Below are 26,850 nucleotides of genomic sequence, written 5' to 3' on the forward strand. Positions count from 1 at the left end.
ATCCTGAAATGCTATTTTCACTACCCCATTCTTTATTCAATTTGTACTAAATATTATCACTCAATATGAGAACAATTTAAGCCTACAGTATTTTAAACATCCTTTAAGTGCTGATAAGAATTTTAAGTATTTTGAACCCCTTAAGATGTAGATATTTATCTTTAGACTTAGACCTAAATAAACATATTAAAAACAAAAACCATACCACTGCAGTAGCTTAAAGGTACTTCAGAGCTTATCGCCCAGTCCAGCACACCTATAAGCCTCACCACCACATGTATAATAAAGAAACCATGACGCCTCAATGTCACATAACTAGTCAAGTACCAAGATCAAAAGTGGAGCTCAAGTCACCTACCTTCCCAGTGTGCTATCTTTTTATCACACCACAAAAGACTGTGACGTTTTAATTGGAAAACCTGAAAAATAAAGAATGTAAAATGTGACAAAATCTGGGGTAAATCAACTCCAATAGCCTTTAAAACACATGGTTAGCAAAAGTTAAAGACTTTTTTTCTTTCTACAAAAGAGGCAAGACAAATCAAGTGTAAAAGCTAGAGATTTATTGTTATTTTATGATTAATAAATTGTCAAATTAGTTATGACACTATCCCACACTGAATACCACCATTTGCCAGTACAGAAGTTTTTAAACCAAACTGAGGCATAAAGCAGAAAGAGCAAAGACACATGAATACCCTTCTTAACAATCTCTTCTACTTATGCCTCCACCGTAACCTTTGTACTTGTTTTCCTCCTGGGGAAAGTGTCAGAACAGTGCAAGGACTGGTGGGTAACCTGGCCTCTTAACCTTTTTAATAGCAAGCAACATACAGAAGTAATGCAATCAACTTGTATTTCCCTTGATTTTATTGGTCTGAATTCATTTTAGGTTACTTTAACATTTTAATTTCCTGTAACTGTACATGAGAGAATATAATCACCTAAGAGAATACTGAACCAGAGTCAGCCAAATGTATCACTGACCCTCAATTATGTTTTAATTGGTCCTAAAGGAATGTACCACCCCAACAGTTTGGGAGTTAGGCAAACAGAATTCTTTGGGGGAGGGAAGAAAAAGGCTATAAAACAGCCAAATGTACTCAACATCATTAAAACGGCTCTTTGTTTTTCACCCCTGAATGATACTTCTTTACTACACTATATGCACAGAAATCCTAACAGAATCTTGGTTGCCAGTATTATTTAAGCTGGCCCCATCCAGGACAGATTCCGCTGCCCCACCCCCCCACCCCGTCCCCCTTTCTCTGAGGCTCTGAAAAGCACAATATTTAACTATTTCTTAATAGAACTACCAAAACACTTCAGAAACAATTGGCTCACAACTCATTTTAAATTTGTGTATTGCCTGTGCATGAGAAAACAGATAAACCCAAAAGATAGTTCTATTTTTTTATGGCGATTAAAAATAACTGAAACATCAAGACACTTTTTCAGTGAAAGCAACATTTCAATTACAAATTTTAATGCCTGTTAAACTACCTATGGGAGAAGCTGAGAAGTCCTAGGCAAATGCACTTTGGGGTATACTACAGTGTTCCTTCAGTCTGCACAAAGATTAAGGTAATTTACAGTCAATCTGTGAATGAATGTTGAGACAATGTTACATTATGTGTCTGTACAATTAATTGTCCTTAAAGAGATAACCAGAATCAGCTTTTCTACTGTATTTTCAACAAACCTGACTAACCGGCACTTTTGCTGGGAGATGTTTGTCAAAGATGCTGTAAGATTCTATACAATTAGGAAATACTCAGCTTTAAGAGTATTTTCTTATCTTCACTTTTTTAGTTACAGGTGTTTTGCTCAGAGAGCCTATTGCAGTATGTTTCCAGAAATGCAGTCCCAAATGTGCATACTCTATATTGTATACAAATAAAACAAAATTATCAGTAGTATAAATCTTACAGCATTGTTTGCAAAAATGCATGCCAAAGTCACAATAAGCAATACTGTACCACAAATTATAGAGTGCAAATGATTTGCTTCTTTTTAATGCTTTTATTCTACATAAATTACTACCATAGGCTAATGTTTAAAAAGCAAATAAACTGGACAGATGCAGGACAAAATCTGGTCACCCAACTATAAAAGGTGATGTTTTTAAAAAATTACAATAAATGCAGAAGTGATGCATGCAGTAGCCTTAATTCCCACTGTTCCAGAAAAGAAAAATACAGAAAAACCCACACATCTTACTGTACTCCACCTTAAAATGCATCATATTGGGTTTGTTTATAACAGCACAGAATTCCAAGAGTCAAAATGAAATAAAGCAGGTATTTTAAAGTTTAAGAGCCGTTATCAAAAATAAATTACATTTTTTCAAGATACAGAAATGCTGCTATGATGGCTGGGAGCCCAGTAACCTTTCAATAGCTGCATTGATATCACCTCCTGTTGCTATTAGAGCTTGCAAGTTTGCTTCACGGTTCAAAAATCCCATTGCACTGAGTTGTTCCAGTTGTTGCTGAAATCTGACTTCTGGATTCTGTAGCTATTAAAGAAAAAAAAAATTAATCCAACTCTAAAGGAAGCCAGTCCCTGCCACACATGACTTTTAAAATTTTTTAATTGCTTTTTTATAACATATGCTGATCTACTGAGCTTTAAAAACACTGCCCACCTCTTGAAACTTATCCAACATATTTAAAAGTCCATTAGCAGTTTATTTTAAATAGTCTAGTTTGTACCTAAATAATCATGTCAAATAGATCACGACTCTACTTTAGGGGAGGGGGAGAAAAGCTTAATAAACATCAACCATTATTTTAGAGGATCACGTACATGCAGAAAAACCTGTATGTGTGTGTGTATATACATATACATATACACACACACACACACACACACACACACACACACACACACAGATAGTTCAGAATTAGATGATTTGTGTAGCTACTGACCAATTGAGTAACTATAAAAGCTGGTATCCTCATGTATAAAATTCTAAAGCTTCAATGATTCTTCGAATGAATGTGAGTTTAATTTTTGCACTGGACAGTCAATTCTTAGAAAAGAGCTTCAGTTTCAGGCCCAAAATTATACTCTTAATTCTGACATTTCAGCAGCATCAAATCTTTTCTTCAGAAATGAAGTTAAAAAAAAAAATCTCCATATAAATGACCAATCAATCCTAGGCCTACCTGATAATTTGGAGGCTTGTAAGTTAACTTATGTCACAATTAATTCTAATACTCCAAATCCTTCTTTCTTATTTATTCCATGAATATTTACTGAGTACCTACCAAGAGCCAGAAACTATGCTACGCTAGCTTATCAGGAATACAGATATGTATGAGACAGAACCCTACCCTATTTATTATATTTAGTAAGGCTTGAAAACAGAAAGCAGGCCAGGCTCACGCCTGTAATCCCAGCACTTTGGGAGGCCAAGGCGGGTGAGATCGCTTGAGCTCAGGAGTTTGAGACCAACCTGGGCAACACGGTTGAAACCCCAGCTCTACAAAAAATACAAAAATTAGCCAGGTGTGGTGGTCTGCGCCTGTAATCCCAGCTACTCCAGAGGCTAAGGTGGGAGGATTGCTGCAGCCCAGGAGGTGCAGGTCGCAGTGAGCTGTGATTGCATCCAGCCTGGGCACTTTGTCAAAAGGGAAAGGGAAAGAAAAAAAAAAAAGGGAAAGGCAAAGAGGGGAAAGAGGAAAAAGGGGAAAGGGGGAAGGGGAAGAGGAAAGGGAAAAGGGAAAGGGGAAGAGGAAGGAGGAAAAGGAAAGGGGAAAGGAGAAAGGGAAAGAAAAAAGAAACCCAGAAAAGAAAACAGAAAGCACCTAACAGACCTTGAGACATTAAGAAGTTTGGGGACAACCTAATAAAACAGGTTTAAACTGGCGATCATCTTTATATAATGGCACATTATTAGTAAAACCAATGTATGTTTGTAGATGCAACCACATTATTAGGGGGTCCATATTCTTTAGCCATATTTACGAGATATATATATATGTAACACAAGCTACCGCAGGAGGTGGTGTCATGGGTGGAGTTAAGGTAGTTAGGACTTTTTTCCAGTCAAAAGACAGACTAGAATACAGCTGCCCTGGAGGTACTTGGGATAATCAAGTTTCCATTCCTCCCTAAGAACTTTTTTAAAGCAAAATCTATTTCAAATGATTTTCAAATAGGAACAAAAAAAATGCATTTTTAAAGGCAATTTCTAAAAAATAAGACTTTAGGTTGTAGCATGTCTTCTCTACAACCGTAACAACGTTTCCTTTAGTGTCTCAGCACCAAAGTCAACAATTTTTGTAATGCCTGTTTTCTTACTCAATATCCTTAAGACTGTATTTTTCATTAATCTAAACACCTAAGAACTACTGCTTTCCTTTTTTCTCCCTTTTTCCTTCTTTTTGGAAATTTCTAAATTTCCAACATTAAGGAATACAAAACTTGAATGGAAAAGAACTGATACCTGAGGATTTACTCCAGCAAGAGCCTGCAGCATCTGCTGAATAAACTGCTGATGTCCAGGTTCAGTGGTTCCTGCTGTGGGACTTGTGTTTTCACTAGGTGTGGCGTTAGATCCATTAGTTCCCGAAGAGCCTCCAGTGCTTCCTAATGCCCCCAAGCCAGGAGTAAACCTACAGAAAGCACAAATAGGAAATATCCTAAGGTCCTGCAAAACCAGAAGCCAGTCCGTAAATCAGTTACATTTTAATATAAGCTAAGCCATCTTCTTAAAATAAGCCCTTTTGGCCTGGTGCAGTGGCTCATTCTGGGAGACCGATGATCCCAGCAGCCCAGGAATTTGAGATCAGCTTAGGCAACATTGTTGAGACTTCATCTCTACAAAAAATAAAAACAAAATTAGCTGGGTGTGCTGGTGCACACCTGTAGTATCAGTTACTTGGCAGGCTGAGGTAAGAGGATTGCTTTAGCCCAGGAGGTAGAGGCTGAAGTGAGCTGAGATCGCGCCACTGCACTCCAGTCTGCTCGATGGAGTGAGACTATCTCTAAAAGGAATTTAAAAAATAATAATAATCATTTTTAACTTTGAAAACCCTGACTTAAAAACAATCATAGCCAGGCACTGTGTCCCAACTACTGGGGAGGCTGAGGTGGGAGGATCACCTGAGCTTAGAAGTTCAAGTTCAGCCAGGGTAAAAGAGCAAAAACCGATCTCTTAATAAATAAATAAGTAAATAAATAAATAAAAACGGTGGGGGAGAACCAGGTGCTATGGCTCATGTCTCTGATCCCACTTTGGGAGGCCAAATCTCTTGAGCCCAGAAGTTTGAGACCAGCCTGGATAACATGGCAAAGCTCCATCTCTAAAAACAGTAACAACAACAAATTATATATATAAATTAGCTAGGTGTGGTGGTGCACACCTGTAGTCCCAGCTACTTGGGAGGCTGAGGTGAGAGAATCCCTTGAGCCCGAGAGGTCGAGGCTGCAGTGAGCCACAACTGCGCCCCCACACTCATAGCCTAGGCGAAGGGCGAGACCCTGTATCCCACCAAAAAAAAAAAAAAAAAAAAAAAGGCAGGCAGAATAATACTAAATCTGAAATTCTCAGAGAAAGTAACCATTATACACTTTCATTATCTTCCCCAAATAAGCCTACCCTGGGATGAGGCCCGGGGCTTCCGTTGCTAATGTCTGTAAACCCTGCTGAATCTGTAACAAGGCCTGCATTGCTCTAGGGTTTGACATTGCTGATAGTGTATCAGGATTCTGCATCTAAGGAAGAAAGAAAACTAGTGGTTACAAAGGAATTAAAATCAGTGAACGTAAATTTTTAAATCTTTTCTCTGTTATGCTTCTGGAGAAAATCTAAAACCTTACTCCTGGACACTGGTAATCCATAATTTCTTTCCCAAAATAAACGCAAGTATCTCCTCTTTGACAGCAAACCTAGTGTGCAAATTATTACTTGACCTCCTCCTAAGTCCATCATGAAAGCCATTTCCATAATGGAAGAAAATCAGGAGCTACTTTGGAAGCCACAACTATTCCCCTTCTCCAACAGAAGATAAAGTATTACTTCTAAGACACAACCTCCAAAGGCACAATTCTTACGACGTGGATATGGTAAAAAGCCACATATTCCACCTAACCAAGTGTTATCTGTTACTAATATAACAATTTTACCAGTAAGGTACACTCTAAAACAACAGTTCCAAATTTGACGTTAATACATGTATCCTGAGTTTAGCTTTACTACTTCCAAATATACACCACCTGACTAACCAAAGATAGGCTTACATCATTACAATAGATCAAGGACACCAACCTTGGAAAATGGTTTACAGGTCTGAGAGTCATTTGCATAATACATGAGGCCCTAGAACTACCAGTTTCAAAACACCAAGACTGACTTCTCTTTTGTCGTTTTAAATAATAAAATACCATGGCAATCTCAAGTACTCGTTTATACTATAACCTTCCTTACTTCCTTATATGACAACACTGACTATTTTAATCTTACTAATCCCGAGTTTGAGGAAATGAGATCTACCCCTTGGGGAAAAAAAGCCTTCTACTAATTTGGAAGAAAACCTATAAAATAGAATAGGGTAGCTCTTTCCTGTTACTCAAAATTAGTTAAACCATAAAGCGTAACATGACACAAGGAAGCACTTCAAAGTTAGTACAATGAAAGGAAATGGTTTATGGTATTAACAAAGCATTCAAAATCCTAGGTCCTCAAAAGCAAAAACAAAATGTTCTTTCCTCAGAATGTATGTTTAAGAAACATAAGCAAAAGGTCAGCAGTGAAATGGGACTCAGTGAAGATCAAGCTGAATTCTCTACGAATTGACAGCATTATTGGTCTCTATTCTATGTTTTGCTATCAGCCAGAGAAGAGCAAGGAAAAATGTTTATCATCAAATTTTTTCAAGCAAATCATTACCCAAGATAGCTAACATCTTGTCTTACTCACTTGTTGGAGGAAAGTTGGGAGCTGTTGTCTCATTTGTTCTTGAAGCTGAGGATTTCCAGCAAATAGGGGATTATTCAGCATCATCTATGGGGCAAGTGTTCAAACAATTTTAACTGGAAATATCTGAAACAAGTAATGTACCTTGTTTTATTCTATCTTCCCCCAAGTGCCTCAGCTGGCACTTAAAAGGGAGGAAGGTAGAACATAAATAAAAAAAGGAAAAGGGAAGATACTGTCCACAAGAGGGATCTCCAGAAGAACAAAAACAAAAAAATGAGGCATATTCTCTCTCAATGAGAATGGTGGTTATGATAATGACATGCAATATCCTAAAAAATAAAAGCAATCATTTTCTTAGGCTTTTCCTTGAACAAACGTGAATATATGCCATTGAAAGAAAAATGGGAGTAACTGGCATTCATGAAGATATATTTTCTACTACACTGGCAGAATAAACATAAACATCAATACATGAACTATGTAACATGGCTTGCTTAGAAACCTCAACACACAAGTGGCAGGCACAGAGAAAATCTAGATCTGAAAAGGACCACTACATCTACCTGCCTACTACAAAACAGCTAATATTAGGTCCAAAAAAATAACACCGCAAAACAGCAACCAACTTGCCAGAGAAATGGAGCTGCTAGGTGAAAATCAGTCAGGCCTAGCACCAACAGTCCTCTGGGAAAAGTATTAAAATGATTTAAGACCTAAAAGATGTAAATCCATTTGAGAACACCAAGATTAGCATCTGGATTTCACCTCACTACTACCAGAGATGAGAAAAGTGGCATCTCCTAAACTTCAAATAAACGTTAAGAATTTAAAAATCAGGATCATTATTAGTATGATGTCATATACCTGAAAATAAGATTAAAATACACAAGGAGCATAACCAGAGCTAATAAATTCTTGTAGCTTCAAAAGACACATTTTATATCATTTTCCCCAGGCGGAGTAAAAAGTCAACTAACAAGGATTTACTGATAGCCTATTTATCTATCCAAAGTCTGGGGAGGAAATGATCCTTGCCCTCAAGAAGTTAACCGTATTTAAGAGCAATGTAAATGCTGGTAGAGAAAATTCGCCCCAATTCTTGCAAAGTGATCTTTTAGTTAATTTCAATACAATAACAAAAGCAGATGTCAGACAACCTTTCAGGAACATACAGTATTTATTTCAAAGTGACCAGTAAGTTCACAGTAAGTAAACTCATACAGGCTTAAGGTCAACAAACCTGCTTCTTTATTGGTTCCAAATACTTATCATCAACATATTAACGAGGTTATCACACATATCTTTTGGAATTCACTTCATTTCATCTTAAAAAAGCATGTCATCTTAAACGTATCCTTTCACAGATAATCATCTTATTAGATACTTCTTATAACTTACCTGAGTGCTTATACCACAAGTTTTTACACTCAAGAGTCTTTTTAAATATTTAAAAATCAAAAGAATAGAAAAACCACAAATTTTAATCTGCAGATAACAAGAACATTGTAAAAGTTTCTAAATTATCTGTAATAAAAGACATGCCAATCTAGTACTAGCAACATTTTGTTTTAGAGTAAAAAAATAGTATGTGAGTGCTCAAGTCACTTTACTAAAGTAAGATTATTACAAAATTGCTACGCATGTGCTTGTTAAAGTCAAATTTTAAAAGCAAGATGCACATTCAGTATTAGCCAAATACACACTTAAAATGGCTTATTATGGTAAATTGAAGCATTTAATACTAACAACTCAGTCTGATAAGTTTCATATGCATAAATCAATCTTCCATAAAATGTACCTCCAATATACAGAATCACAGACACAAAAATTCTTCTTAAAATTTGTTATTTCCAATTCCACAAATTTGGTGAGGGCATAAGTTATTACTGAGAATTATACACAAAGATACCTGAATCAATATAGTTTTAGAATTTAGAAAATAAAAACCATTCATTTGACTTAAAGCTTTTAAAATTTAAGGGATGAGATTAACTATAAAGTCTTCCAAATTCCTGACACACTACAGAAGCCATTTTTAACGAACAGCAAATATAAACTACAGATTATCAAGGTTTATTTCACATTCTCCGTGGTTTTTCAAGCCCTGTGGTATGGAACCTAGATAGTACCTAGGCAACTTGAGGGAGAAAGGGTTATCGGACGCAATTATCTCAAAATCTCTAAGGATGAGGCCCCAACCATCGGTACTGTCTATAAAGCTTCCCAAGTGATCCTGAGTGTTCAGCCAGCATTAAGATCCCCAATTTTCTTAGCTGTGGTCTCTTTAGAAACAAATTAGAAAAAGGAATACATTAATAAGGGACCTGTATACGATTTTCAGCAGGGGAATCAATAGTTGAAAGAAGGAGAACATTGTTCTGACAAATTCCCGTCTTTAATAAATGCTATTTTACAACTGCCATTCTGAGCATGACTATTATAATCTGAGTGATCTACTAAATAAAAGTATTTCAAATGTATTAACATTGCTCTTAATTGCTTTCAAGATTTACATTTCATTAAGTAGTTTATCTTCAAAAGAGTGGGCATTCCAGAACTCTGTACTTGTCTCCTAACTCAACATATGTAGAAACAAACTAAACCTGCACTTCTTTCTAGTCAATGAATGGCAGAGATAAAGTTGTTTTAATTACATATGAAGTATTAATTTACTGCAAAGAAACACACGGTCTAAAAAATTGGAGACACAGTTTACTTATTTTTCTAGTGTATTAAGATATCATACACAACACAAATGTGCCAAAATCACAATTACAAGATTAGGTTATTTTAATTCACACTGCACAGTCTTTTTCAATACAATTACAAACTCACCTGTGCAGCAAGGTCAGGATTCTGGCTTAGTGACTGCATCATGCTTCTCATGTAGGGGGCAGACAACATGTTTTGCATCAGTTGTGGGTTTTCAGTTATTTGTTGCAACAAGCTCTGCATTCCTGGTGTGTTGAACATACTAGCTGAAAGTTTGTTTTTAAAAAAGACATATTAAGGAAAAATACTTAAACAAAAGTTAAAGCTTTAAAATATAATATGCACTGTGTTTAATTTCACCAAGTACAAATGATTATACATATTATGTATCAACTGAACTACGAAAGAACTTTAAAACTAAAACATCTCTAAAAGTACATGCCCAACATATACCAGGAAAAGAGGACTGATGAGTTTAAACATTCTGCATTTACAGTAAAATCTTGTCTAATGAAGAGCTAGCTTCTGAAGTCAACTTAAGGCAAAAATTACGTATGGTCAAAATTACTGCTGAAAAATTCCATAAAGTGAAAAGGACTGAGCCAACTTTTCCTCCAAGACTGCAAAGAATTAATTAGAATCATATTCGGCACTTAATATTGCCCACCCTTATGAAAGAAGTAAGCCTTCATGCCCAAGGCAACAAAAGATGTAATGCCTCCACCCATTTTCACTGTGTACTGCCACTCACTGAGTAAAATGGTAGGCACATTTAACATTTGAAACCATAGAGCACAGTGACTCCAAGCAGTATCAGGAGCCTGATTACGTGGGTTCAAATCTAATCTAACCCATGTGATCTTGGGCAAGTTATCTAGCGTCTTCATACTTCAGGTTCCCCATCTGTAAAATGGAGAAAGCAGTATCTACTTCATAGGGTGGTTGTAAGAAAATTAATGTACAAAGCACTTATGATTATTGTTTTTCCTTTTATTGCCAAGGGCTACAGCTGAATTTATGTGAATTCCATATGTGATGACAACTGTATATTTAGGCAAATTTTCTTTGAAAACTAAGTTAATTTGCTTGACTCACACCTAGATCTTCAACTGCCAACTAGATACACTCAAACTCAAATATATTCTCAAACTTACTATGCCAAGTCAACTCATTAGGTTTTTCATCTCCTTTCTGCTATTCCATCCAGTTATATCAGGCTTAAGACATCTGACTCTTCTCACTTATCTTTCTAGTTTATTATAATTCTGTTTTTAATAGTTCTTGTTTTTCCTATTTTCTCATGTTGTAAATTTTAACTTAGTTTTTTTTTCACATCCTAGAGTCCAACCTTGGAGATACTGTGGGTTTGGTTCCAGACTGCTGTGCAATAAAGCAAGTCACACACATTTTTTGGTTTCCCAGCGCATACAAAAGTTGTTTGCATGATACTGTAGTCTATTAAGTATGCCACAGCCTTCGGTCTAAAAAAAAACTCTGCACATAAATATAAAAATACTTTATTGCCGAAAGCTGCTAACAGTGAGTCAGCTGGTGGTCGCTAAAGGTTGGGGTGGCTGTGGCAATTTCTTAAAATAAGACAACGATGAAGTTTGCCACATCAGGAAAACTTTGTTGCACTCTATGCTGTTTGACAGCATTTACCACAGCAGAACTTTCAAAATTGGAGCCAATCCTCTCAAACCCTGCCACTGCTTTATCAACAAAGTTTATGAAACATTCTGAATTCGTTGTCATTTCAATAATGTTCACAGCATCTTCACTTACAGCAGACTCTATCTCAAGAAACCACTCTTTGCTCATCTACAAAAAGCAACTCCTCATCTGTACAAGTTTTTTCATGGCATTGTAGCAACGCAGTCAGTGTTCATGCTCCACCTCTTTTTTTCTTTTTAAATTGAGATGGAGTCTCGCTTTTGTCACCCAGGCTGGAGTGAGGGGAGTGGCACGAACATAGCTCACTGCTGCCTGCAATTCCTAGGCTCAAGGGATCCTCCTGCCCGAACCTTCCAAAGTGCCGTGATTAAAGGTATGAGCCAACACACCTGGCAGGCTCCACTTCACATTCTAGTTCTCTTGCTATTTCCACTACTTCTACAGTCCCCTCCTCCATAGAAGTCTTGAACCCCTCAAAGGCATCCATGAGGGACAGAACAAACTTCTTCCAAACTCCTGTTCATGTTGATATTTTGACATCCTCTCCATGAATTAGGAACGTTCTTAATGACATTGAGAATGGTGAATGAATCCTTTCCAGAAGGTTTTCAATTTACTTTGCCCAAATCCATTAGAGGACTCACTAAGGCAGCTATAGTCTAATTAAATGTATTTCTTAAATAAGACTTGTAAGTTGAAAGTGCTCCTTGATCCATGGGCTGCATGCAGAATGAATGCTGTGTTAGTTAACAGGCATAAAAACAACATTAATCTCCTTGCACATCTCCATCAAAGCTCTTGGGTGACTACATGCACTGTCAATGAGCACTAATATTTTGAAAGGAATCTTTTCCTTAGCAACGTCTCACCAGTAGACTTAAAATATTAAGTAAACCATGCTGTAAACAGATGTGCTGTCATCCAGGCTTTTTTTCTTTTTTTCTTTTTTTTCCTGTTTACAGAGCATAGGCAGAATAGATCTAGCATAATTTTTAAGGCCCTAGGATTACTGGAATAATAAATGAGCACTGGCTTCAACTCAGTCACCAGACACATTAGCCCCAACAGTCAGCCTTTCCTTTGAAGAACTGAAGCTAAGAATTCACTTCTCTCCAGAAATGAAAATTCTAGATGATATCTTCTTCCAATAGAAGGCTGTTTTTCACCTACATTAAAAACTGGTTGTTTCATGTGGCCACGTTCCTTGATGATCTTAGGAGATCTTCTGGATAACTTGCTGCAGCTTCTACAACAGCACCTGCTACCTCACCTTGTACCTTTACATTATGGAGTTGGCTTCTTTCCTTAAACATAAGCCAGTCAACCTCAGCTACTTTCCAACTTTTCTTCTGCAGATTCCTTACCTCTCAGCTTTCATAGAATTAAAGAGAGTTAGGGCCTTGCTCTGGATTAGGCTTTGGCTTAAGGGAATAGTGTGGCTGGTGTGATCGTCTATCCAGATCACTACAATTTTCTCCACATCAGCAATGAAGTTGTTTTGCTTTCTTGTCATTCATGTCTTCACTGGAGTAGCACTTATAATTTTCTTCAAGAACTTTTCCTTCGCATTCACAACTTGGCTGTTTGGTGCAAGAGGCCTAGCTTTTGGCCTATTTTAGCTTCTGATATGCCTCCCTCACTAAACAAGATTATTTCTAGCTTTTGATATAAAGTAAGAGATGCAGGAGTCTTTTTTTATACTTGAATACTTAGAGGCCACTGTAGAGTTATTAACTGACCCAATTTCAATGTTGTGTCTCAGAGAATAGGGAGACCCAAGAAGAGGAAGAGAGACAAGTGGAACAGCCAGTCAGTTGAACAGTCAGAACACATACATTTACTGATTAAGTTTGCCAGGTACAAGGTGGTTCCTGGTACCCCAAAACAATTACTAAAGTAACATCAAAGATCACTGATTACAGAATCACCACAACAGAATAATGAAAAAGCCTGAAATATTGTGAGAATTATCAAAATGTGACACAGAGACATGAAGTGGGCACATGCTGTTGGAAAAATGGTACTAACAGACTTGCTCAATGCAGGGTCACTGCAAACCTTCAAACTGTGAAAATCACACTATCTGTGAAGCACAACAAAATGAGGTATATCTGTATTCTAAGATAGGCTGGCAAATAACAGCCTGCAGGACAAATCTGGCCTACAACATGTTTCTGCTAAGCTAATGAGTTAAAAATTGCTTTTATGTTTCAAGGCCAGGCATGGTGGTTCACACCTGTAATTCCAGCACTTTGGGACGCTGAGGCGGGTGGATCATTTTAGGTCAGGAGTTCAAGCAGCCTGGCCAACATGGCGAAACCCCGTCTCCACTAAAGATACAAAAATCAGCTGGGTGTGGTGGTACACACCTGTAATCCCAGCTACTGGGGAGGCTGAGAAGGGAGAATCGTTTGAACCCAGGAGAAGAAGGTTGCAGTGACTCAAGATTATACCACTGCACTCCAGCCTGGGCGACGACTCTGTCTCAAACAAAACAAACCAAAAAACCAAAACAATTTTTGGTCGGGTGCAGTGACTTACACCTGTAATCCTAGCACTTTGGGAGGCCAAGGCAGACAGATCACCCAAGGTCGGGAGTTTGAGACCAGCCTGGCCAACATGGTGAAACACTGTCTCTACTAAGAAAAAAAACAAAGAAATTAGCCAGGTGTGGTGGTGGGTGCCTATAATCCCAGCTACTCAGGAGGCTGAGGCACGAGAATCTCTAGAACCTGGGAGGCAGAGGTTGCAGTGAGCCGTGATCATGCTACTGCACTCCAGCCTGGGTGACAGGTCGAGACTCGGTCTTTTAAAAAAAAAAAAAAAAAAAAACAAAAAAAAAAAACTGCGCTTACGTTTTTATTTTTAAATAGTTAAGGGAAAAAAAATCCAAGATAAATATTTTGTGAAACGTGAAAACTATATGAAATTCAAATTTCAACGCCCATGAATACCATTTTATTGGAACAGTCATTCTCACTTATTGTCTATGGGTGTTTTGCACTTTTACAAAAGCAGTGAGTACTTGCAACAGAAACTGTCTATGGTACTGTCACTCCTTCATACTGTTATTTGTTTTGTTTTGAGACAGGGTCTTGCTCTGTCTCCCAGGCTGGAGTGCGGTGATGCCATCACAGCTCACTGCAGCCTTAACCTCCCTAAGCACAGGTAATCCTCCCACCTCAGCCTCCCAAGTAGCTGTACTACAGCTGCACACCATGCCCGGTTACTTTTTGTCTTCTTTGTACAGGTGAGGTTTCACCATGTTGGCTAGGCTGGTCTCAAACTCCTGGGCTCAAGCAATCCACCCACCTTGGCCTCCCAAAGTCCTGGGATAACAAGTATGAGCCACCATGCCACACCTGGCCTCCTTCGTACTGTTGTTCAGTATACTACTACAAAACACAGTGAATCAGTTATACTCATGCAGCACAAAATCACTGCAGCATTAAAAAAAAAAAAATAACCAGTATATACCAATCATGCCAGAACAAGAAAAAAGGAAGAAGGAGAGTTACAAATGTCAGGTTTTTAAGGCACAGTGGAATATATTTTACTAAATGAGATGGCAAAACTTGTGTTTCTTATGCAATGACACTAAAAGAATACAACATATATAAGCACTGCCGGACCAACCACTCATCACAATACTCCCCACTCACAGAAAAGCAATGGTCAGAAGAAATATAAACTTTAGAATGAAATATCTCATCATAGCCACTTTTTCACAAAAAATAAAAATGAAAATAAGACTGCAACCAAAGTTAAGTTTCCAAGTGGCTTGTTAGCCAAAGGAAGCCAAGTACTAGTGATGACTAATTTAACAGTTAATTAAATCTTGATTGCAGTAACCAAATGTGTCCAGAGAAAATAAACTCACTGAAGTCTACTCGGCTCTCAGGAGGAACAGTTTTTCTCAGAGTTAAGGATGTCAATACTCAATTTAAAAACAACGCAAATGATTCTGAGTGCTATTTCTAAGTTCTTGATAAGCTGACAGATGTTACTGATACTGCTCAATTGTATGGGGAGTCAATGGTAAGTCTGAAGTGACCGGAAAATTACCCTCTATAAATAGTCTGAATGGAACAACCAGGGTAAGACCATTTTTTAAAAAGTTGAGAAATAAGAATTTGGTACAACTTGAAGTAGAATCTGCTAAGATGTGCTACATCTCATGGCAGCAAAAACGTGCAGAATTAAAACGACTTAGTTGGACATATTTTCAAAGCATATAAAAATGTAAGGTATTTAAAGACTATAGTTATTGACTGTCTTATTCATCAGTAGGTACTCTGGAAAACATTTGGATCTATCATGTTACTGAACCAGGAGTATCAATGAGGAGCACTGTTAACTCCTGTAAACTTAACCAGTCAACTTCATGAATTTTTATTAACAATAACTCAATATTCTGACATGCCTAACCACACAGAAGGTTGATGGTGGCTTAGCAGAGGTAAAGTTTCATTGCATTATTTTATTAGCTCATGCCAAAGATTAAAATTTTAGTAAATGAGAACCACTACCCTGCCAACCCTCCAACAACCAAACATTGAATTACTATATGAATTCGTTTTTGTTAGAGAGTTGGTAATGCTTATGCATGAATTCAACCTAAAACTACAAAGCAAAGCAGCATTTATGTGTGATCATACTAAAGTCATTTTGACAACTAAAATTGTTTGAATCACAAGCAATGTCAAGGTGCTTTACAGACTTCCTATGCCGTCAAAAAAAAAAAAAAATCACAAGAAGCAAGACCTCCATTCTCACAAATTTGCAGATTTACTTTTGAGCTCATACCACCAGCAACATTTTTCAGACCTCAATGCAAATGCAAAGGCAACTGACATTCAAAGTTCACTTAACTGTGCAATTGAGGAGCTACTACCTTTCACTTTGAAGTGATTAATCTGAATGTAATGGCATGTTAAAAACAACATTATCTAATGGAATTCTATAAATGCCTTCCACACTGATAAATATGCTATTAAAATCAAATGCTTTTGGAATGAGTACGTATTTTGAATAAGTCAGTCAAGTCTCACTACATATCAGTATTAACAGATGAACTTTGCAATTCTGGTAAACAGAACACTGAACCCCAATTATGCAAAATGTTATTCCCCCAAAGAAGTCCCATTCCTCTTATCAGTAGATACAAGGAAAATATTGTAACTAAATATTACCAATTTTTTTATTTTTTCAATTAAAAAATTTGTGGGAATTTGTTTTGTCTCTTGATGTAATACATTCTCCATTTTGCCTCTTGGCCAGTAATACCTGAAGTATTATCTGACCCTTCACATGAAAAATCTGTCAACTCCTGCTCTAACACTTCCTTACATTCTAGAGTAGGTGCTTACAGGACCAAAGAAGAGTCAAGAATTTCATCTTTACATGTGTATGTGTGCATATATGTATGCATCAAATGTCACAGTTGAGTAAGAATCATAATACTGTACAAATATGCTGACAATCTGATAGGCCAGCAGAGTAAGTTCATTCTTGCTAGTTCTTGTTTTCCCTTGATGGAAATATTAACATGAAATGTTAAAGTATCAAACCATTAAGTATCTGAGTAAAAGGATGCAAAACTGATTTTTGGTTTTTGGTTTTTTAGACAAAAGTTATTACTGTAGACAATCATGGTAAAGGGAAAGAAAACAACAGCTTAACCAGTCAGGAAATATGATTAAATCTTTGCCTGCTCTATACCCTTTAAAGTAAGAACATTGCAACCCTCTCAAAAGATTGTTAGTATCAAAGTAAGGATTAAGTAGAATATAGAACAGAATATTTTTATTGATTTAAAAATGGTATTACTTCAGGTTTTACAAAACCTATATTATAAACATAAATCTCAAGATATCCACTGTATTCTATAAAAGAATATATATCAACTGTGATCATTAATTACTCTTCTCATTCTGATTCTTCTTTCAGCAATGAATTTTTAAAAATTCTTCATCCAGCACCTCATCTTTCCACTTCCTCTGCCAAAGTACAGGCATCTTTTAAAACATGCCCAGTCTATCTCATCTTAGAGAAGTGCTCCCATGTCTCCATTTCTTCCTACTTATACGCCAAGTATTAGGACTAAAATTGTCACTATGGCTAATGATCTTGGACCTAATTCATGGACAAAACATCCGCATGTAGTATCTGAATAGCTGAAAGGAAGACATCTGAGTTCAGTCTACAGAAAAGTGGACAAAAGTAAATTTCTAACCTGTTCACACATGAGAATCTGCTTCACACAAACACAGATCTTAACCCCACTATGAAAGATTTGGCTCCACAAAGTCTGAGGGTAAGATCTGGGAATCTGATTTTTAATAAACCTGGCAGGTGCTCTGATGCAGCCAGTATAGCCCTGACCTCAAGACGGGTGCTTGACAATCTACTGATCTAAAATACAAAACCAGGCTAAAGACAGCAAACATGTGCTCTAGTAACAACTACACAGGTAACTAGTAACAACTACACAAGTAAATAAGTGTTCTCTCTACATTTAAAGCTTCCTTTAAAAAACAAAATGTGACCAGGTGCAGCGGCTCACACCTATAATCCCAGCAATTTGGGAGGCCAAGGCAGGCGGATCACCTGAGGTCAGGAGTTCAAGACCAGCCTGACCAAGATGGAGAAACCCTGTCTCTACTAAAAATACAAAATTAGCCGGGCATGGTGGCAGGTGCCTGTAATCCCAGCTACTCGGGAGGCTGAGGCAGAAGAATCACTTGAACCCAGGAGGAAGAGGTTGCGGTGAGCTGAGATCGTGCCATTGTACTCCAGCCTGTGCAACAAGAGCGAAGCTCTATCTCAAAAAAACAAAACAAAACAAAACAAAAGCAACATGAAAAATATAGTTTATAAAAGATACTCACTATACATACACACAAAAGCACAAAGAATAAGAGTATAAACAATGTTTTAATTATGTAAATGAGGACAACAAAGAAAAAAGCCTGAGTTGTTAAAAGCATACCTCCTACTCCAGGCACCAAATTTGGCGCAGTAGTACTCTGCCCAGAAGTGCCACTGGCAGTACTACCAGTAGTGCCACCCACAGTGCTGGCAGTGCCGCTGGAAGCTGATGAACTCTGGGAAGTCTGTGGAGCCCATGGATTGGGTAGTGGATCTCTATTTTCTGTACGGGAAGGTTGACTACCTTCACCAGAGGATGTATTGCTCACCAAGGAAGCAAATGGATTACCACCAAACTGTAATAAAAGACATAAAAAATCACAAAGAATAAGCTTTTGTTTTAAATAAGATATGAAACTTTTTTTTTTTTTTTTGAGACGGAGTCTCGCTCTGTGACCCAGGCTGGAGTGCAGTGGCGCGATCTCGGCTCACTGCAAGCTCCGCCTCCTGTGTTCACACCATTCTCCTGCCTCAGCCTCCCGAGTAGCTGGGACTACAGGCGCCCACCACCACGCCCAGCTAATTTTTTGTATTTTTAGTAGAGACGGGATTTCACCGTATTAGCCAGGATGGTCTTGATCTCCTGACCTCGGGATCCACCCGCCTCGGCCTCCCAAAGTGCTGGGATTACAGGCGTGAGCCACTGCACCCGGCCACTGAACTTTTTAAAAATTGAAAACCACATTCCTCATATAAAAGCTACCCTCAATCATACACATATTTGTGTTAAAACAGAAGCTACTCCTTGGCCTGAACCTTGGAGCCAGTGGATCACCTGCTCTTGTGCAGCACTCAGCATTGGTTCCTGAATATCTGTGTACATGCGCCTTAAAGCATTATATCCCCCTGGGATGCTTTCTAGGTTGCTCAAAGCTCGGTCCTGGTTCCTCATCATCTCCTGCATCATTGCTGGATTCCTGGCAAGTTCCAACGTCTACGAAAAATATTTCCAAAAAAAGAAAAAAAAAAGGCATTGAAATACACATGAATTACATTAATTACTTTATTAACTGCCATTAAACAAAGTTTATGGGAGGCCACTGTTTTGTTTTGTTTTTTTAATTTTTTTGAGACGGAGTCTTGCTTTGTCGCCCAGGCTGGAGTGCAGTGGCATGATCTTGGTTCACTGCAAGCTCCGCCTCCCGGGTTCACACCCATTCTCCTGCCTCAGCCTCCCGAGTAGCTGGGACTACAGGCGCCCGCCACCACGCCCCGCTAATTTTTTTTTGTATTTTTTAGTAGAGACGGGGTTTCACCGTGTTAGCCAGGATGGTCTTGATCTCCTGACCTCGTGATCCGCCCACCTCAGCTTCCCAAAGTGCTGGGATTACAAGCGTGAGCCACCGCGCCCGGCCAGGAGGCCACTGTTTTGGACCAGCCTCCTGCACTATGCCCCAGCAGACCACAACAAACCAAAATAGAGCCACTTGTGCCAAGTGCCATGTAATCAAAGTGAACTATGAAAGGGGCCAGTTTCCCCCCCAAAACCATAGTAAGCTGCAGTCAACGTGAGTCACTGTAACAAGAAAGAGTTCCCTCCATTTTAACCCTATTAGGAAAGTAACTTCGAAATGACCCATCTGCTTTTTGTTCGTTTTTGCTTTCTTCAGCCCTTTTATGCCTATAAAGCCAACCTCTTCTGCTCAGCTCATGAGAACACTCTATTTTATAAAATGAGGTGTTGTCTGATTCTAGAATCACAAATAAAAACCAATTAAAGCTTTAAAGTTGTTGCAATTTTGTATTCAACATATAAGGCAGGAGGTTATTTTAAATAATCCCTGGTGTATTTCACCTCAAAAAAGCAACTTAGCATTCAAATAACATAAAGAAGGAAGCACTTTGTTATGAGTGAATTTCCCATCTCCAGCATTGGACTTTTTGATTCTTAAGCCTTCAAAATAAACTATTTACAAAGATCCTTCAATTTAACAGAAAATTCAGAGTTCAAACAGCCAAATTAGCGCTTTGTTGAGTTTTCTTAAACCAAGATAAGGATTTCTCTCTTTAGCTTAACCATACATACAGGACAATCTCATTAACCACAGAAAATTAAATAACAAATATATCATTTTTTAGCTAAACGAACTGAAAGAACTTTCCACATACTTGTCTCATTATATCTGGATTATTCAACATATGACTAATTTCTGGATTTCTCTGTATCAACTGCTGCATTTGTGGATTGGCCATAATTAACTGTCTCATCAGGTCAGGATTTGAGAGCATGCTCTGAACAAAGGGATTTTCCATGATCTGGACCATCATTTCAGGGTTAGACAAAAGTTGTCGCTGCATCTGACTCTGTAGTTCAGAGAAGTTGGTAGTATTCAAACCCAAGCTACTCAGACCTGCAAGTCCCCCAAGGCCACCTAAGAGGATAAAGGGCAAAAACATACAAATCAAAGTCAGAAAATTTATCATTAACATGACATAAAATATGAAGATGCAAAAAAGTATTAGCTGACCCAATAGTCTATTACAAGAAATCATTTAAAAACAAATCGAATACCTATTACTAATATTTAATTCCTATCATTGAAATTAGCCAAAAATTTACACTTTGGTAATTAAAGTAATAAAATCAACAAAATATATTTTCATGTATGTAGTATAATAATAAATATATTTGGTCTTTCTCCTTGATCCTGAGTTACTAAAACTTTGGAATTTTCTGAGTGACAGGAGTATCTTTTATTATTCATTACAAGCCCTTTTGATCATTATGCTAATGAAGTGACTTAGGCCCCTGGAAAGCCTCAGAAAGGAGCTGGTCACCAGAAAGACAAAGTGATTAAAGGGCTAAAACTTTCAGCCCCACCCACCAAGAAAGTAAGGGTAGGGAGGTGGAGATAGAGCTCTATGCAAATTCTTCAACAATAAAATTAAGAAAACTCAAAATGAAAAGCACATCTGAGTGTTAGGAGGGTTGTGCGCTGAGGAAACCTGGATGGAACCTTTGAGCCCAACTTCCATCCCCCACATACCCATACCTTGTGCCCTAATAATTATCTTCCAAGCATTTGTCTGTTTCTGAGTTGTATCCTTTATAATAAACAGGTAAACATAAGTGTTTCCTTGAGTTCTAGGTGCCATTCTAGCAATTATTGAACCTGAGGAGGAGGTCAGGGGAACCCCCAACTTAGAGCTGGTCAGTCAGAAGTACAGATGGCCTAGAACTTGTGACCAGTATCTGAAGTAGGGGCAGTCTTGCAGGACTGAGTCTGCTAACTTGTGAGATCAGACACTAACTGTAGGTAGGTAGTATCAGAAATGAAGCTGAATCTTGGACACAGAGCTGGTATTGGACAATTGGCTGGTGTCAGAAAAAACAGTCCAGATTATGCCAGCTAAAGGAAGAAATAATAAATACACACACCAGACTATGCTTCTAATAATCTTTCCAAAAGACTAGTTTAAGTTTTATTAACAGGAAGCAGAATTCACCTATAAACACTGGGTACAAGAGGGCTGATACTGCCAGTCAAGGAGACAGAGAGCCAGGGAATACCTGGAAATAGATTTCTCTTTGGAGGACTTCAATCAAGGAGAAACCTAACAGAGCAACAGGATGACCAAGTGCTTACCACAAAGTGTTTACTTCGTAAAATTACATAACCAACTAAATGCATTCAGTTCTCACTTACTGAGCACTTTTTATATATGCCAGAGACTGTGTTACATATGTATTGAGAATAAGGCAACAAGAAAGACATCCTCAGAACTCAATCTAGTAGGAAAGACAGACAAGAAAATAAATGTCTATACAGATGCTAAGTACTTCAGTAAAGAATATTCACAGGATATTATGGTAATATAACCCAAGTGGAATGGCTACTTTCAGAAGAAGAGATAACACTTAATGAGTCTGGAGCATAAATACTTTGGCAAGGAAACGTGAAGAAGGTTAGGAGGGGGACTGAATACTAGGCACAATGAACACCATATACAAAAAGCACAAAAATAAATGTATTAATGCATTCTTGAAACCACAAAAACTTCAGTATGACTAACTACAGTAGCAGATAGCAGTGCTCACCAAACATTTCATTTTGCAGCCTTATTATTTCTTTTGCACTTGGACAGGCCTATGTGAAATGCCAAAGGACTACAAGAAATGATATATGCCACTTCTGGCCAAAGTATAGCAGGTTCAACTTAAAACCCTGTAGCTGTCTCTTCTGCCGTGTTCCAAATGGTAGAGCTATAATACAGCAGAATGAAAAATGACTTTCATTAGCTTGAGTCTCTGAGGGACTATATGGATGGGCACCTTACAAACCGGTAAAAAGCGTAGCATGCAGAAAAATGCAGCAAGAAATGAAGCTTTGTTGTAATAAGCCACTGAGTTTGGCTATCTATTATCAAAAGAAAATGGATAACAGCACTTTGGCAGATCACAAATTCAGGAGATCTAGACCATCCTGGCTAATATGGTGAAACCCAGTCTCTACTAAAAATACAAAAAAATTAGCCGGGCGTAGTGGCACACTCCTATAATCCCAGCTACTCGGGAGGCTGAGGCAGAAGAATCGCTTGAACCCAGGAGGCAGAGGTTGCGGTGAGCCTAGATCGCGCCACTGCACTCCAGCCTGGGCGACAGAGCAAGACTCTGTCTCAAAAAATATATATATATATATTCCACAGAACCTCAATATATAAATCTAATACAGGCCAGGCACAGTGGCTCTCATCTGTAACCCAGCATTTTGGGACACCAGCAGGACACCGTAAGCCAGGAGTTTGAGGCTGCAGTGAGCTATGGATGGCATCACTGCACTCTAGCCTCCGTGACTGAGCAAGATCCTGCCTCTCTTAAAAAAACAAACAAACAAACAAACAAAAACTAATATAAGAAAAACAAAAGCAGTTTTAGGCGAGGCTGGCTTCCCAGACCCCCTTCCATGTGTTCAGGACAGTTACAAAATAACTAATGCAGTCTGATCCCTTCCTTTTACAAATGAAAAAATTATTATTCAGGGACGCTGGCTTACGATTAATAACCAGCTAATCTTACTCATACTAAATTATGTGGTAGTCAGATCAGGTATACACAAACTACATCTCTTTCATCATTAAAAAGAAAGGCGCCAACTGATATGTAAGAATATCCATATCCCCAACTACTTCCTTAATATCTACAATTATAGGAATGTATGTTTTTTTTTTTTAATTTTTGTTGTTAAAGTGACATAATGTTTTATTTTCTCATTTTATCTGAAACTACCCAGGAAGGGAAAGGAGTATTTTTTCCCATCCCTACTGGAATGACTAAAGACACTTACCTAAACCAAAAGGGTTGCTAGTAGCAGAACCAGATGTAGAGTTACTATTAGGAGTTGATGATGTAGTAACATTGCTTCCAGCTGTATTTGTTTGCTGAGCTGAATGATCCTGAGGCCTAGGGAAAATAATTAATCACAGAGTAAGCAGTAGAGCTGATTATTTTTAAAAGAACCACCAAAGGCCAGGCACAGTGGCTCACGCCTGTAATCCCAGCACTTTGGGAGGCCGAAGCTGGCTGATCACGAGGTCAAGAGATAGAGAACATCCTGGCTAACACAGTGAAACCCCATCTCTACTAAACATACAAAAAATTAGCCGGGCGTGATGGCGAGTGCCTATAGTCCCAGCTACTTGGGAGGCTGAGGCAGGAGAATGGCGTGAACCCAGGAGGCGGAGCTTGCAGTGAGCGAGATCGCGCCACTGCACTCCGTCCAGCCTGGGCAACAGAGCGAGACTCCGTCTCAAAAAAAAAAAAAAAAAAAAAAGAACCACTGAAATCCTGACATCTAGAAATAAAGGGTAAACTCTCAGACCAAATCAAATTATCATTTAGTAAAAAGCCTGAGAAAACTAAGCATTAGGAACAAAAAATACAAAATAAAATAAAACCCTACAAAATACAAAATATGCTGCAATTGCCCCTCCTCTTTGAGTATAATGTACACAAATATTTCATTAGTTTCAATCATATTGCTTATGTAAGAGATGGAGGTAGGTTATCTCATAAGAGGGAAGCCAATGACCAGTTACACCCACAAAGCTTGACTATATAAAAAACTTTTTTATCTTGGCCAGGTGCGGTGGCTCACGCCTGTAATCCCAGCACTTTGCGAGGCCGAGGCAGGCGATCAACTGAGGTCAGGAGTTCAAGACCAGTCTGGCCAACATGGTAAAACCCTATCTCTACTAAAATACAAAAATTAGCCGGGCATGGTGGCACATGCCTGTAATCACAGGTACTCAGGAGGCTGAGGCAGGAAGACTACTTGAACCCAGGAGGCGGAGGTTGTAGTGAGCCAAGATTGCGCCACTGCACTCCAGCCTGGGTGACAGAGAGAGACTCTTGAAAAACAAACAAACAAACAAACAAAAAAACCCACAACTTTTTTATCTATCCCCTTCTAGTTCTTGAGGGTTATGAGCCAGTTTTACTCTGGCCCTTGAAATTCTTGAAAACAATAAAAAGCGAGAGACTTCACCAAAAGAAAGCCAACAAATCAATATGATTAATAATTATTACTTTATTTATTTATTTTTTTAAAGACAGAGTCTTGCTCTGTCACCCAGGCTGGAGGTGCAGTGGCATGATCTCGGCTCACTGTAACCTCCACCTCCCAGGTTCAAGCGATTCTCCTGCCTCAGCCTCCCGAGTAGCTGGGACTACAGGTGCACACCACTGTGCTGGGCAATTTTTTGTATTTTTAGTAGAGACAGCGTTTCACCATGTTTACCACGCTGCTCTGGAACTCCTGACCTCAGGTGATCTGCCCACCTCACCCTCCCAAAGTGCTCAGATTTCAGGTGTGAGCCACCGCGCCTGGCCTGATTATTACTTAGTATTATCTCTAAAAGGAAATAAGCCAGACAAGGTGGCTCACACCTGTAATCCCAGCACTTTGGGAGGCCAAGGCTGGTGGATCACCTGAGTTCAGGAGTTCGTGACCAGCCTGGCCAACATGAGGAAACCCCGTCTCTATCAAAAATACAAAATTAGCCGGGCGTGGTGGCGCATGCCTGTAATTCCAGCTACTTGGGAGGCTGAGGCGGGAGAATCGCTTGAACCCAGAGGCAGACGTTGCAGTGAGCTGAGATCGCACCGTTGCACTCCAGCCTGGGCAACAAGAGTGAAATTCCGTCTCAAAAAAAAAAAAAAAAAAGTAAGGAAATAAAAAAAACCCTTCCAGATGATACCAGATAAGAGTTTTGAATGCCACTCATTGCTTCTTTCCCTGAATTTAGCTAAGGCACACATTTTTCTATTTTAACATCTCCGAAATCAGGATCTGTCTTACAATTGCTGACAGCCAGGCATCAACTACATGCCTGCACATGTAGTCTACATGACTTCAACTGAATGCCTGGGTACACTGTTGTATCATATGTAACGGGCTTAATTACCACATTAAGTGTCTTCAAAATAATTACACTATTAATTGGCACTGACAGAAGTTACCATGTATTCAGAATAGCACCAAAATAGAAGGAATATGTTGAATGAGTAAAGCAAGTATTTGCTGTTGGTAAACAACAGCATAAAAACTTACAGGAGTGTTAATGGCTTGGAACAAAATCCTGGAGAAAATACTGGAGAGCTCTTTTAAGCAATGCTACACCACCAACACTCTTGACAGAACAGAGTTTGATACTGTATGAAAAAATATGGACACTGACAACTAAGTCTTCGTATGTTATGCAAGAGTGATATGATAAAATTCCATACCCATGTAAGTCTAAAGGAGCTCTTTCACTAAGTATAAAATAAACATTTTAAGTGACAAGAAAACATCAATTCAGTTAGCAGTATTCTTTCTTAGTGATACACAAAGGTATCTCTTTAAAACTGGTGGTGCCAGCTGGACACTGTGGCACGCACCTACAGTCCCAGGCTGACATGGGAGCATCACTTGAGCCCAGCCTGGGCAACATGGCATGACTCTGTCTCTTAAAAAAAAAAAAAAAAAAGTTCCTTAGACTTAAAGAAATATGATTATCAATTCGTGGTTTGCTAAGGAGATAAGTTACTCATGATCTTTGTCTAAAAATTTCCTTACTAAAAGAAAAGCTAAAAACTTGCCTGTTCTAATGCAAATAATTTAGGTATAATAACTAAATACCAATGAACCTTGTAAAATATGAAATGGTTATCTGACAATCACGTAAGCATTAACATGGAATCACACTTTTTAAAAAAATTGTTATCGACAGCAAGGAAAGAATTTTAACTATTTAAATATTAATGACAGGGAAAGTAATTTACAGCCAACACTAGTTACTTTTAGAAGTACGAACATTTATCCACAATTTTAAAGCTGTACATCTTCCAAAACCATACCTGTTTTGTGTTTTAATGACAAGGTGAACAGTAAGTCCATCATGAATTCCATGCTGACTCAAGGTATCTTGATCTTTCAAAATTTTTCCAGCAAATATCAACACAAGTTGGTCAGTATGTGATTTAAAACGTTTAGAGATTTCTTCCTTAAACTAAATAAAAATAAAATAAGTATGTATTACAGTTGTTTGCACAGCACCATACAGTCTAGTTTCTACAGGTACCTCATAGAGGCCCCTACTACAGACGCTACAATTCAAACACCATA

At 38.3% G+C, this 26,850-nt stretch overlaps 1 protein-coding gene across 3 annotated transcripts in view; it reads right to left on the reverse strand.

Moving 5' to 3' along the window:
• The window catches only part of UBQLN1 (ubiquilin 1), a 47,991-nt gene continuing 21,687 nt past the window's right edge, over positions 547-26,850 (reverse strand). The window contains exons 2-11 of one of the 3 annotated variants that reach the window (NM_013438.5): positions 26,583-26,734; positions 23,530-23,645; positions 20,354-20,616; positions 19,020-19,178; positions 18,306-18,540; positions 9,764-9,906; positions 6,929-7,012; positions 5,609-5,724; positions 4,454-4,622; positions 547-2,518 (exon numbers count right to left, since the gene is read on the reverse strand). In NM_013438.5, coding sequence (NP_038466.2) covers positions 2,366-2,518; positions 4,454-4,622; positions 5,609-5,724; positions 6,929-7,012; positions 9,764-9,906; positions 18,306-18,540; positions 19,020-19,178; positions 20,354-20,616; positions 23,530-23,645; positions 26,583-26,734 — 1,590 coding nt within the window. In that variant the 3' untranslated portion in view covers positions 547-2,365. Of the gene's footprint in view, positions 2,519-4,453; positions 4,623-5,608; positions 5,725-6,928; positions 7,013-8,086; positions 9,211-9,763; positions 9,907-18,305; positions 18,541-19,019; positions 19,179-20,353; positions 20,617-23,529; positions 23,646-26,582; positions 26,735-26,850 lie in introns of those variants that run through there. The other 2 variants (NM_053067.3, XM_005251948.4) reach the window with 2 other exon arrangements.

Source organism: Homo sapiens, chromosome 9 (assembly GCF_000001405.40).
Source record: "Homo sapiens chromosome 9, GRCh38.p14 Primary Assembly".
NCBI classification, from domain to species: domain Eukaryota; kingdom Metazoa; phylum Chordata; class Mammalia; order Primates; family Hominidae; genus Homo; species Homo sapiens.